This window comes from Homo sapiens, chromosome 12 (assembly GCF_000001405.40).
Source record: "Homo sapiens chromosome 12, GRCh38.p14 Primary Assembly".
NCBI classification, from domain to species: domain Eukaryota; kingdom Metazoa; phylum Chordata; class Mammalia; order Primates; family Hominidae; genus Homo; species Homo sapiens.
Genome location: NC_000012.12, coordinates 69,639,276 through 69,653,380, shown reverse-complemented (window position 1 = coordinate 69,653,380; position 14,105 = coordinate 69,639,276). Strand labels below are relative to the sequence as shown.

The window sequence follows — 14,105 nt, the reverse complement described above, 5'->3', positions numbered from 1 at the left end:
AGGCCCTGAATCTGCCAGCAATTTGCCCAGCATTCTGGAGGATGCCCCAAGGGAGGCATGCCCAACTCACAGATTCAGGCTAAATCTCTCCAGCCTCAAGGGCCTCTCTGGGTCCTCCCCGCTCAAGTCTACCTGCGTCTTTTATGCATTCATAGAGAAGGGCATTGCTCCAGCTTGGAGTACCACCCATAGTCCTCTTCATTTTTCATGACAGAAAAAAGTTGGCAGGACCCTCCTTCCCTTCACCAACTCCTCCTGATACGCAATGTTCAAATTAGCACATTTTCACAAGACCTCATATCTCCCAGGCCTCCAAGCTGCATGACAACAATGACATTTACTTTAACTGACTTTTCTCAAAGGACTGAAAAGAAATAATATTAGAGGAAATGCTATACCTTGATGGTTCTCTATGTTGGTTGGTAGTGTTAGCATCTGGGAAAGCCCCGTTATTCCCAAAGCACTACGTATAGACTATGGGATCAAGAGCCAATATAACACTTCTAGAAGGCAGGATCCCTAACCTTCTCCCAGTCACCAGGCTCTTAATGCTATTTTCTTGGGTATTTCAATTTCAGTCTGTCTATTCTCTTCTCTTTAGCTCTGTCTGTTGCTCAAATTCAAGTAAGTTTCTACTTAGCTGCTTTTGAAACATAATCAGTTTTCATTCCTAAATCCAAGGTGATAAATTATACACAAATATAATAATACATTTATGAAGGGCTGGCAGTGTTCATTTATCTCTGCTTCCACACGCCCCTTATGCACTTTTATCCAGATAATTTTTTAATTTCCTCAATATTTCTTCAAAATTTGAGATAGACTCTCATTTTCTTCTTGCAATGAAAACTAAATTATGACATGCTCAATGAGCCCGTGTGGTTGAATTCAGCTATAAAATCAAACCAGCAATTGCTCAGAGCAGATGAAGAAATTCTCTATTAATTCTAAAATGAGTTTTTACTCAACACAGACCACGGTTGAAAAAAACAAAATGATTTCTTCTCATGTACCTGATTTCATTGCCTGCCTAGCTCCTTTTTCCCTGAGTCCTGGAACCTTCACCCACCTGGATGAATGGTCACATGGCCTGGTGGCTTAATCTTTTGAGTTTGCCCATTCCAAGAACAGGCTCAACTCTCTCACATTAAATGTGATCCAAAAGCCAGAGAGTGCGGTGAGGCCAAGCTCTATTTGTTGCGTTCTCTCCCTGCTTTGTAGAGATAACTCTGCCCTGATGCTGGGGTTTGTAGTTCAGTAAGGAAATGGCCCACTAACTTTTTCTCAATTTTCCAAGAATTTTAGAGAATGACTGGCACCCAGCAAAACAAAGAAGGCTGTTATCTCCCCTTCCTTTATTGTCCTGTCTACTTCATGGTGTATCGCCTCCACCACTCCAGACATCCACTTTCAGCCTGGTTCAGCTAAGCTATGGAAAATATTTTAAATGGAATGGAGAAATGTAAAATTTGCCATGAAAGTAAAGATTTGTTTAAATCTTAGAAATACTCCTCTTGTTTTTGGTGTTTTCGCCTCTAGCTTCCTTCTTCTCCAGAAAAATCAATTCAATTTTTTTCTTTCTTTTTTTTTTTTTCTTTTTTTTTTGAGACAGAGTCTCACTTTGTCGCCCAGAGCTGGAGTGCAGTGGCACAATCTCTGCTCACTGCAACCTCCACCTCCTGGGTTTAAGCAATTCTCCTGCCTCAGTCTCCCGAGTAGCTTGGATTACAGGGACCCGCCATCACACCTGGCTAATTTTTTTGTATTTTTAGTAGAGACAGGGTTTCACCATGTTGGCCAGGCTGGTCTTGAACTCCTGACCTCAAGTGATCCACCCATCTTGGCCTCCCAAAGTGCTGGGATTATAGGCATGAGCCACCACACCCTGTTTGATTCCATTTTAAGTCATTTTTCTGAGCTCTTAATGTCATAAAATCTACTCTCTGAGAATCTACTGAGCCCAAGTGGCCATGAGTTATAATGGGATAAGGAAAACCAGTGTTTTCCTTTACAAATTTGAACAAGTCTGCGTTCTTCTGAACTTCTTATTCTCATCTATAAAATGGGCTCTTTTCTGGCTCATTTCACTTGCCCTTCATGAGGCATCGTGAGAGGAGGCTGGGAATGCAGCAGCACTGTATGGATGGCAAGCATGACTGGGGATTAATGTTCCCATGGATTCACTATGAACTTCAGAAAAAGCCCTTCCTCTCTTCCTCATTTAGTCACTTGTTTGCCAGGATCTACTTATTCTACAGGATTCTAGCCTCTTTCATTCAGGAAGCTTTCCTTCTTTTTTTAGAGACAAGTCCTGCTATGTTGCCCAGGCTGGCCTTGAACTCCCTAGCTCAAGAGATCTGCCTGTCTCAGCCTCCGGAGAAGCTGGGGCTTACAGACATGCACCACTGTGCCTGGCTCAGAAAACTTTTCTTCTAAGACACACACCATTAAGCTTCCAAATTATTAATCTAGTCATTTCTCTCTTGGTTTTTTTTTCCTTTCATATGCTTCCCAACTCCTCCCACATCTTCTTTCTCTGCAGTGTTTTTTGTCATAGTTCTTCACTGTCCACCATATCCCAGGCCTCATCACCATGGCAATGAATTCCTCCTCTAACCCATTATGTGTCTCCATCCCCTCAATCAAAACATGGAACTGGAGAAAAGTAGTTGCTTCTGTTTTCTCCACTATAAATCTAGAGGATTTAGAACCCCTGGTTCAAAGTTAGAAGACCCTCTTGAGGTATCTAATCTCCCTAAACCTGGTCCTGGATCAGTTAATTAGAAAGAACAACTACAACTGTAAAAACTCCTAAGCAAGAGCAGGTTGAAACCTAATTCCCCCTGCCCCTCTCTTATCACAATCATCTACATGATCAACAACAAACATTTTCTGATGTGCTGGGCTATTAACAGTAACAACCAAGGATTTCCTCATTTTGTCTTGTTGAACTATGTCAGATAGGTCCTCAATACTTTTGCATGCTTTTTTGTTTTTTTAGTTCTATGGACCTTAATTTTTGGGACAGGCTTTTCCACTCATGTGGCCACTGAGTCGAAAGAACCAATTCAAGAATACCAGGATCATTCTCTTTTTGCAAATTTACAAAACCCAGAAAAAATATTCCTATTCACTGGCAAAGCTTGAGAGACAGAATCCTAACAAACATTCACCTCTCTCCAAACTCTCTCTCTTCATCACCTCCACCTGTGCAGTCAGCTCATGCCTGGCCATGGCAAATGGAAAATGCACCAATTTCCCTGTAAAATAGAGACCCAAAAACCACATTTGCTCAAATAATTAATTCAGTTTGGAGATTACGTTTTTGTGTTTTATTTTGTTTTGTCTCTGAGTTAATTCAGAAAGTGGACTCAAACCTTCCTTTTGCCACAGGTAGATGTGGCCAGGTGGTTACCTAGAATCATCTCTGATCTTCTAATTTTAGACATTTGCCAGAAGCAGCAAAGGGAATGTTGTATCTTGTATCCAGAAAACAAATAAGAACGTTTCTAAAATGGGTTTTGCACAAAAGCGCTGGTGCGTTCCAGGTTTTTTGTCTAGGCCAGTGGCTCTCAGCCAGAGATGGCTTTGCACCCAGAAGATATTTGACAATGTCTGGAGATAATTTTAGTTGTCAGGCTGGGGAGTATTTCTGGCATCTAGTGGGTAGAGGCCAGAAATGCTGCTAAACATCCTACAAGGCACAGGACAGACGTCCACAACTATTTGGCCCAATATACCAAGTTTGAGAAAGCTGATTTAGGCCAATAAGAAGGTAAAAATGAGACAACCATCAAGGAGATTAATGATAAGAGATGAGCTAGAGGAAGAAATAGAACTAGAAGAGAACAGATTAGCCCAGCAACAGGCTAAATTCCTATTCTATGTACAAGCTGTGAAGTAATTACCATTTCTCCCTTGATGATAGAGGATCTGATATCTCAAATTCAGAAAAATCAGATTTGAACCCCGAGGTTCATGCTTAGATTCCTTGAATGGCTCCTACCAGTAAGAGTAGCTAAATGCCATTGCTGGCATGATTGTAATTTCCTTAGATTATACTTTATATAAAGAGTGACAACAAATCCGGCACAGTGGCTCATGCCAATAATCCCAGCACTTTGGGAGGCCAAGGCGGGCAGGTCGCTTGAGGTCAGGAGTTTGAGACTAGCCTGGCTAACATGGCAAAATCGTGTCTCTACTAAAAAAAAGTACAAAAATTAGCCGGGCGTGGTGGCGCACACGTGTAATCCCAGCTCTTGGGAGGCTGAGGCACGGGAATCACTTGAACCCGGGAGGCAGAGGTTGCAGTGAACTGAGATCATGCTACTGCACTCCAGCCTGGGCAACAGAGCAAGTCTGTCTCAAATAATAATAATAAATTCTTACCAATATTATTGAAGAACTTGTGCCAATAAGCTGCTAGACTGTGGATAGACAACTGATCTAGCTTCAGCTTTTATATGTGTCTTTCTGAGGACTGAACAAACTGTATCTTCTAGACATGTAATTTGGTACTTTATGTAGAAAGGACTTTTTTGTAGAAAATAGTTACAAAGGATTGGGTCAGTTTACTACCTTCCCTGGGCCAAGCAAACTCATGGATTCCTCTGCCTCAGACTTCCAGGAGAATAACATCAAGGAATTGGTGAAATCCTGGATGATGTCACCAGTTGGACTTGTATTCATAGTCATTCATGAAACATTAAGCAACTATTGAGTGTCAGGCATTCCGCTAAAGCTGAGTGTCCGGGAAGTTCTGTCCCTCCCATCCTCCCTAATGGATCTGCCACTCTCTCTGCAGGTCCTGAGAAATAAGAACATGCCTTCTGAAGTTCATTCATGTTTGCCCCTGAGTTTGTTTTCTTCATCCACAATCCCGTTCCCCATCCCAACTATTTCAGTTTGTTTAACATGAAGCCCTTTGCTTGTATACATTCTTATAAAATGCATAGTTTTGTGTGCAAATGCTTTTGTAGTATAGGTCTCATCTGTTTATTTTTCACTTAGTACTATGTTTTTCAGATCCCCCCAAATTCCCTCTTGTAAATCTTATCTACTGCCCCAATTGCTTCTAGCCGCTGCATACTCCAGGATGTCTCATATCTCACTTACATACTGTCCCAATTGCCTCCACCTCCCTCCAGAGACCCTAGGGATCTCCCTCCAGAGAACCTAGGGATCCATAGAAGAGTTTCTTTGGGGTGTAGACCCACGAACAGATTGACCTCCAGAAGTGTCCTTGCATCTCTACATCCCTTTCCCCAACCCCAAGCTTGGCATCGCCTCACTATCTGTTTTTTCCAGTCTGAAAAATGTAAAGGGATGCCTAATTGTTGTTTAATTGACATTAGTCTCATTACTAATGCCATTAAGCATCTCTTCATGTGCCTGTGCATCCTTTTAGGACTCTTCTTCTGAAAATTGCCTTTTCAACTTCTTTGCTTTTTTATCTAATGGAGTTTCTGTACTTTTCTTGTTGATTTTCAGGAGTTCCTTCTTTTTCTAGACTAATAATAGACCCTTGTTGGTTTCAGACATTGTGGTGGTCTTTTCTGATCCTTTGTGTGTCTATTAAAAGTATCCATGGTATTTGTTGAATAGAAATCCTTAATTTAATATAATCAAATTCATCAATTTTTTTGTTTTATGCTTTTGAAGTTTTGTATGAGAAATCCTTCCCCATCCCTCTCCCATGATATTCGCCTACATTTTTTGTCCTATTTCCTTTACAGTGTTAAGTAGGGATAAGTTTTGTTGTTTTTTTCTCCATAGAGTGAGCCAATTATCCCCCCATCTACTAAACAACCTTTCATAAGTTCTACATATTTTTTGCAAATTAGATACACTGGTATGAAACAAACAGCATCTGAAAGAGGGGAGAAAGAGGGTCATATGAGTGGAAGAAAAGAAATAAAACTCCAGCTCCTCCCCACTGAATACTAACTTCCTTCCAAATGCCTGCCCTTCTGCTACCTGTGAGTGGTGACGTTTCCCCTTTCAGAGCTTGGGGCATAGCACTCATTTGCACAAAAGCCGACTAAAAATCGGCCAACTCTTGTATCACACTAAACTGCAAGAGTAAAGCCTGCTACTTAAGGAGCTGTTGTTTAAGGAGAAACGGAGATGATAGTTCAGGATCCTTCAACACTCAGAAGAAGGCAGGAGCAAATTCAGAGAGATGGAGTCCACAATCAAATTCTATTTAGAGCCTGGGATCAGCAAAGGTGGAGGCTTACACCAAATGGCCAGCATCACTTGTTCTTACTTGCTGAGGTCTGCTCTGGACCTACAGTCTAAGTCTTTACTCCCCTTTACGCCTCAAAGATGGGTGAATACTGAGTGTTTACTGCCCTCCTTGGTTCTGTCCTTAGAAATCAGCTGCCATGCTTGGATGGTTGCAGATGGGTTCAGAAGTGAATGAATCTCATCTTTTTTTTTATTCCCCAAGGAACAAAACTTTCTGGAAGTGGCGGCATCTTCAATTCTAATGATAAGCTTGGTATTAATCCACATGTTTACTGGACCCTACTGACTCCAAAGGAAAAGCACAACCAAGATTAGAAAACACTTTCAATCAGTCATTTTTTCCAAATAAAAATGGAACCCGATTACTTTCATAACTAAAGAATGGAGGAAGACAGGCAGATTTCTGTCACATTCATTCATCTCTCTTCAACATGGTTTTGCTCCCCCTGGCCCTGATGCAGAGGCTATGTGCCCCTGATGCTCTGCAGGGAAAAAGGTTTAGCTGGTGAGGGGCCAGGTGGGACAATGCCCTTCTCATGGGTACAGTGGAAATGAGACATGTGCCCACTTGCCTTAGAAGGCAGCCAGGCCTTTCCACTGGGATGTAAGCTCCATTCACTGGCTTTTTCAACCAGTGCATCTCCAGGGATTAGAAAAGTGTCTGACCATATCAAAAAAAAAAAATTAGGTGCATGGATGCTTGAAGGAAAGAAAAAAATAAATAAATAAAACCAAATCAGATCTAGATCCAAAGTTAGTAGACCTGAAAATCTCAATCAAGTATAACCACAAACTTAGCTGTGTGATCTCAGTCAAGTTACTTGAATACTCTGGACTTCCTTTAGCTCATCTCTAAATGAATGGTTAGACTAAGTGATTTAAAATCCCTCTCAAGGCCAGGCACGGTGGCTCACGCCTGTAATCCCAACACCTTGGGAGGCTGAGACTGGTGGGTCACTTGAGGTCAGGAGTTTGAGACCATCCTGGCCAACATGGCAAAACCCCATCTCTACTAAAAATACAAAAAATTAGCTGAGCATGGTGGCAGGCACCTGTAATCCCAGCTACTCGAGAGGCTGAGGCAGGAAAATCACTTGAACCTCGGGGGCAGAGGTTGCAGTGAGCCGAGATCATGCCACAGCACTCCAGCCTGGGTGACAGAGCGAGACTCCATCTCAAATAAATAAATAAATCCTTCTCAAATGCTGGTACCAGTAACATATCTGGAGATTCTATACCTGGAGGAGGAAGAAAGAGACGGTTGTGATGAACATTAGAAAATTGACCTAAATGGTGAAAGAAAAAGGAGAGTGAGGTCAGGAAAGGGAGGGTTACAACTATTGGGTACTTAGGATGTGCCTGGTGTTTTATATATATCACTTCAATCGGTCCTCACGACAGCTACAAAGCCCTATTACCCATTAAATAGGAGGAATATAGAAAAGGTAAATAACTTGCTACAGGTTACACAACAATTAAAATTTCAATCTGGGATTTGAACACAGGTCCCCTAGGCTCATTGCTGATTCTGCTATTCCACACCGCATCTGTAACAGTTAACTAGGTTAGGATAGAAAGTTATGTTTGCAGCACACAACTGATGAACAGTCAATCAGCAATCACCGTAACCACTCAACCACCTCTGCCGACTTACCCTTTGAGGTCCATGGAGGAACCTTGGGAAACCAACATTTATTGAACCTATTAGGTGGCAGTTACTGCAGTAAGTGCTGTCCATACCTTATCACATTTAATTCTCTTAACAAGCTGTGAAGTATCTCTATGCCCATTTTATAGGTAAGGAAACTAGGGTTTGGGGAAAAAACTTAGCGTTCCTGGGAGCCTTAACAAAAACTCAGTGAGCTTTAGCCCTTCCAAAACCTTACTCATCAGTCTGCCCTTAGCCATCCTCTAGCGGATGTGTGGTAATATTATAATAAACCAATACTGAACACTCTGCCAAATAACTAGAGCAAAATTTGTGCTGTAATTCAATTGGCCATCCCTTTCACCCTGGCATTTCATCAACCAGAAAAAATAAAAACCAAATATCATCAAAGAAAAGAGGCCCCCCATAGGTTCTTCAATTCTCATATTTATATAAATGCCATTGAAGTCCCAAGAAAAGTATCAAATAAATTTAAGGCCCAAAACCAAATAGCTGATGGATTTGAATCTACATTCTTCTAATAGTTAACTGTAAATAAAAATGTAAATTGAATAAATTACATGTATTACAATCAGCAATGATTTATCAATTATACTAAAAATACTATTTTAAAAAATAGCTAAACAATTAGGACCTGCCAGTCAAATGGCCTGGAAAACTAAAATAGCATTAAACATACTACTAGCAAAAGAAAGTGGAGTTTGTGTCATAATCAAAACCCAATGCTGTACTTACATGCCTAACAACATTACTCCCAGTGGAACCATAACTAAAGCATTACAGAATCTTACTGTCCTATCAAATAAGCTAGCCAAAAATTCTGAACTAAACAATCCCTTCACAAATTTAATAAAAAATTGGTTCAGTAAATAAAAAAACCTTATGTCCTCAATCCTCATCTCTCTAGCCATTAAAATAGAGTTACTTATTCTCATAAAATACTGCATCATACCCTGTGCCAAAAAATTAATACAAAAACTTATTAAAACAACTCTCACTAAAACCTCTTACAATCCTCCTCCCCCTATTTCAAATAAACTTTTCCTTCTAAAAGACCAAGTAAAACAACAGAGCCAAATTATGCTAAAAGAAATTTTTTTAAAGTTATAACAATTACTTAGCACATTTAATTCTCTTAACGAGCTGTGAAGTAGCTCTATGTCCATTTTATAGGTAAGGAAACTGGGGTTTGGGGAAATAAACTACTGTATCCATGTCACAGAGCTGACAATTAGCAGAGTTGCGTTTCAAAATCAGGCCTGCACATAAACCATGAGGCAAATATGTGACTTCCCTGAAGGATATAGCCCAACCCTAGAGCTTATTTCTCTATAAATACATTCCCTACAGTTGTACCTGCTCCCCTCCTGCTCCCTTGCTTCACTGGCAACAACTTAAACTCTTGGGTATGATATGGGATGGTACTTTGTCATTAGTCAAAGCTGGTTTGGGTGCCTGAAACACATCTGAAGATCCAATGCAAGACCAGCAATTCCTTCTTCTTTGTACACATGTGAGGTTTTTAGGTTCTGGGACCATGCTTCAGAACACTGAAATTACATTAAATGTGTGGTGGCCTATGTGAATTCAACTCTGTGAGTTTGGCGAAGAAAAGAGAAGCACCTGTATACGTGTAGAAAGAAAAGACCATTCTCCCTTCTCCCCTTCTCCCCAGGAAACAGATGCCTAAGAATGAGTGGAAGATGGAAGATATAAAAATCCCACTCCCTCAGCCTCAATTCCAGTGTGCTAAGAGTGATCCTGGTGGTTAAAGGTACAACACTCGAATCTTTCAAAACAACTTGGCTCCTAAACACAAGCCAACAATCTCATCTGCTGCTCAACTGAAAAACATTCTCCACTTTTTAGCATCCAGGCATGTGGAGTTCCTAAGAAATGCACTTTATTAATGCCCAACATGGTACCTTCCCAGGAGATTTTAATGGTAATTTTCACTCTACCAGTGTTATGTGTGCTGACTTTAGGGCCCACCCTTCACATATGGTATTACTCACTCAAGGGTTTAAACTGGGGCATTCCAGAAGTACCAGTTTCCATGATGAAAAGTGGAACAGCAGAAGCGCTTAAAGCAATTTTACTGAATCTAGTTTTTGTCTTTTTTTTTACATTAAGCAAAATAATGTTTACTAATAAGTTTCTTAATTTAGCAGTCTGAAACACAATTAGATATACAATTTTGGTCTGCAGTGGGAAGGTGGCTGGTAGTCTGAATCTGATTTTCAGATAGCTCTGTTTTTTTGGCCAACATGCTCCAATTTACTGCAGTCTCCGCCACTCCCTATTGTCCTACACTAGGCCTGCTTCACTCATTTGTTGCCTACCTGGCTCTCATAGGTATCTTGAGTTTGTACTTCTTTTACTAAAGCATCACCGGCTCCATGAAGACCTCAACCACTGTGAGTTCCACAAATGCACTCAGGGAAAGCATAAGAAAATACAGAAGTTAAAGTTCTCAGATCATCTTTCTGCTCACTTCTATAAACTTCCAGCAGCCCCGTGCTATCACTCAGACACGTTAAACCTGCATGCTTTTCTCTTGTTGACCTGCCTCTCTGGGTGAAGTACACAGTCATGGTGTTCCCCCTGGCTGGATGACAGTGTAAATCATCCAACCCGCGGGGACTCCCAGCACCAACCAACCCTGCTTCACCAGGCCCCATTGGCAGCAGGTCTGGCAGAGATGTCAGATCCCAGACAACTCAGGAACAGCATGTCATTGCCATGCCATTCCCACTCAGGAAACTCGAGCCTCTTCATTCAGGGTTGTATAGCCACAGCTGCTGTTCACGGTACCTGGCAGGCTGGTTGGCTCTTGCCACAGGCGGGGCAGCCAGGAGCCCTCCTGCTATTTCCATCCTTCAGCCTCAGGAGCCATCAGTCACTCCCAGGTCAGCTCCACAGCAATGGGCATGGAGCGCTGAGCAACAGAGAGCACTCCACAGAGAGAGGAGATGAAAAGATTTGGAATGGGTTTTTTTGGGGGGGATGGGGGTACAGGGGTTTGAGATGGAGTCTCACTCTGTCACCCAGGCTGGTGTTCAGTGGCACAATCTCATCACACTGCAACCTCTGCCTCCTGGGTTCAAGTGATTCTCGTGCCTCGGCCTTCTGAGTCGCTGGGATTACAAGCATGCCCCACCATACCCGGCTAATTTTTGTATTTTTAGTAGAGACGGAGTTTCACCATGCTGGCCAGGCCACTCCTGGCCTCAAGTGATCTGCCCACCTTGGCCTCCCAAAGTGCTGGGATTACAGGCGTGCACCACTGTGCCCAGCCTGGGATATGGAATGTGTTAAAGCCAGCTTTACTCTCCTAAGGACAAAGGCAAGCCAGTAAGTGGAGGAAGAAACAGCTAAGCCAGAGTTGGTAAATCCTGCTGGTGGGAGAGATGACTAAGGACAAGATCAAGCCCCCTCACTGCAGGGGAAATAAAACTTCTAAAAGTTATAAGTCCAAAAGTTGATAAAAGACTGGAGTTAGGCAAAACGTCAAATATAAGAGGCAAGAATATGCCCATGTTCTTGAGTTCTTTCCGTGATGGGCACTGGCTTTGTGTTTGGCCAACATAAAGTTTAGAGCCACTTTCCTCTGAATATTTCAAGTGATACTCAGAGAGCCTGTGGAAGGAGCACTGAGGCGTTTGAGAGCAAAGAGCAGAAAGCCAGCGTCAGAGTGGAAACAACCGTGTCCTTCAGCTGTTCCATCAAGGTCGATGGGGTATGGCCCCCCAGCCACCAGTGCAGTTCTCTGCAGCTGCCTCACCTCCAGTACCCAAGGCTAAGGGAGTCGATGTCTCTCCCACACACAGTTTTTGCAAATCCCACTCTGTTGTTACCCCACTGAAACATGCAGCGTAGGGTGGGGCACAGTGGCTCACACCTGTAATCCCAACATTAAGAGGCCAAGGCAAGAGGATTGCTTGAGGCCAGGAGTTTGAGACCCACCTGGGCAACATAGTAAGACCCCATCTCCACACACACAAAAAAAAACTTAAAAATTAACCAGGCATGCTGGCATGTGCCTATAGTCCCAGCTACTCAGAAAGCTAAGACAGGAGGATGGCCTGAGCCTAGGGGGTCAAGGCGGCAGTGAGCTATGATCACGCCACTGTGCTTCAGCCTGGGTGATGAAGTGAGACTGTCTCCAAAAAACAAAACAAAACAAAAACATGCAGTAAAAATCAGATATAAGTATGTGTCCTAGGATTCAGAGCTGTTCAGAGTTGGTGGTGACATCTAAAACTGATACACACAATCCCCCTCCCTCAGGGCCTCCTAGAACCTAAAAGAGCAGATACAGGGTGGCATGGGCATCACTGCCGCCCTGCATCCATAACACCTGCTGGCTGGGTACCAGCCAGGTATCTTCTCTACGTATTTTTCAGCAGACAATGTGTACTTTCTATGGTCTGTGGTCCACAGTATACCAGGGGAGTAAGTTCTTCTTGTTTTTTGTTTGTTTGTTTGTTTTTCCTAGAGATGGATCTTGATGGATCTTGCTATGCTGCCCAGGCTGGCCCTGAGCTCCTGGACTCAAGTGATCCTCCCACCTCAGCCTCTTGAGTAGCTGGGACTACTGCGATATGCCACTGTGCCTGGTTTATGAGCTCTGATTTTACATTCCACATATAAAACATATTTTTATATATGTTTTTATATATGTTTTATATATACATTCCACATAAAAAACATATTACATATTCCACATATAAAACCAAATTTCAAACATGGCCTGGTCAACATTTGTGAAGAAGTGAGGTCTTTGAACATAAAAGTAAGAATATGAGCTTTGGGCCGGGTATGGTGGCTCACGCCTGTAATCCCAACACTTTGGGAGGCCAAGGTGGGCAGATCACCTGAGGTCAGGAGTTGGAGAGCAGCCTGGCCAACATGACAAAACCCCATCTCTACTAAAAATACCAAAAAAATTAGCCAGGCTTGGTGGCAGGTGCCTGTAATCCCAGCTACTCAGGAAGCTGAGGCAGAAGAATCACTTGAACCCAGGCGGCAGAGGTTACAGTAAGCTAAGATTGCACCATGGCACTCCAGCCTGGGTGACAGAGCGAGATTCTCTCTCTCAAAAAAAAAAAAAAAAAAAGTGGAATATGAGCTTTGGACTTAGATTTCATGGATTCAAATCTTGGATAGACCACTTTTGGTGACAAGTTACTTAACCTTTCTGTGACTTGGTTTTCTCACAAATGAAATGGAGATAATAGTAATACCTATTTTTGTGGGTATTAATAAACTCATATTACACAGCTAGCCATATAGCATACACAATACATACTTGCCATCATGTTTATATCATCATATTATTAAATAGTATGGTGATTAAGAGCTGAGGCACTGCTCTAGTCGGGCTCAAACACTTACTAGCTGTAAGACCTTGAGCAAGCTACCGAACATCCCTTAACCTCAATTTCATCAACTACAAAATTGTGTTAATGCCAGAACCTTCCTCGTCAGGTTGTTTGAAAAATTAAATGAAATTGTGAAGATAAAGCTATTAATATGGGGTCTGATGCAAAGTTATGACTCAATAATTATTAACTATTTTTAATATTAGTTAATAAAATGGGCCAGACTTTGGAGCAAAACATTTGGGATTTTTTTTCCTCTCCTTCCCCCTCCTCAGATTTCATAATTTTTAATGTTTCTTCCCTGAAAGTATATAAGTGACTATTTTGCGAAGTCAAATATCTATGGACATTATTTCTTAAATCTCCTACCTTGGACCGATTTGATAAAAACAGCGTATAACAAACTACACGTGGCAGAAGCAAAGGCCAAGGGAGGAACACCAGCGAGGGTTTCTCCACGCTGCCTCCAGGTGGCAGCACTTAGCATGGCGAGCCTCAAAAGGCCCAGATGAGAGCCTCCGCTTCAATCCATCTGAAACCAAGGGTGGAAGCTATGTTCATCCCTGAGGGCGACTGAAGATTCTCAGATGCACTTGTCATTGCCTCTGGGGAAGGAGGCTTGGGACATGGATGGACAGGGCTGGGGCGATCAGGGCTGCCCCTAACGTATGCAGAGCCCCTGTGTGTGTAAATAATTTGAGTCATTCCAAATCAGTATGTTGAAAAAAACAAAACACCGCACCAGACCCAGGAGTGACCCATGCATCAGTCAGGTTACTCCTGGAAGCAGGGCCTGCAGGAAA

General features: G+C 42.3%; 1 protein-coding gene and 1 long non-coding RNA gene across 3 annotated transcripts in view, besides 1 other annotated feature; one reads left to right on the top strand and one right to left on the bottom strand.

Moving 5' to 3' along the window:
• BEST3 (bestrophin 3) overlaps nt 1–9,873 on the top strand; it is a 55,796-nt gene extending 45,923 nt beyond the window's left edge. Inside the window, exon 10 of the mRNA NM_001282614.2 lies at nt 9,594–9,873. Coding sequence (NP_001269543.1) covers nt 9,594–9,690 — 97 coding nt within the window. The 3' untranslated portion in view covers nt 9,691–9,873. The remainder of the gene's footprint in view (nt 1–9,593) is intronic.
• Nucleotides 1–14,105, bottom strand: part of LOC105369823 (uncharacterized) — a 64,494-nt gene that overhangs the window by 35,696 nt on the left and 14,693 nt on the right. The window lies entirely within an intron of this gene.
• Nucleotides 13,832–13,911: an enhancer, noted in NCBI's record as "active region_6654". NCBI's record gives its function as "activates an Ori minimal core promoter by ATAC-STARR-seq in GM12878 lymphoblastoid cells {active_cell/tissue: GM12878}" and the evidence as "EXISTENCE:reporter gene assay evidence [ECO:0000049][PMID:35858748]".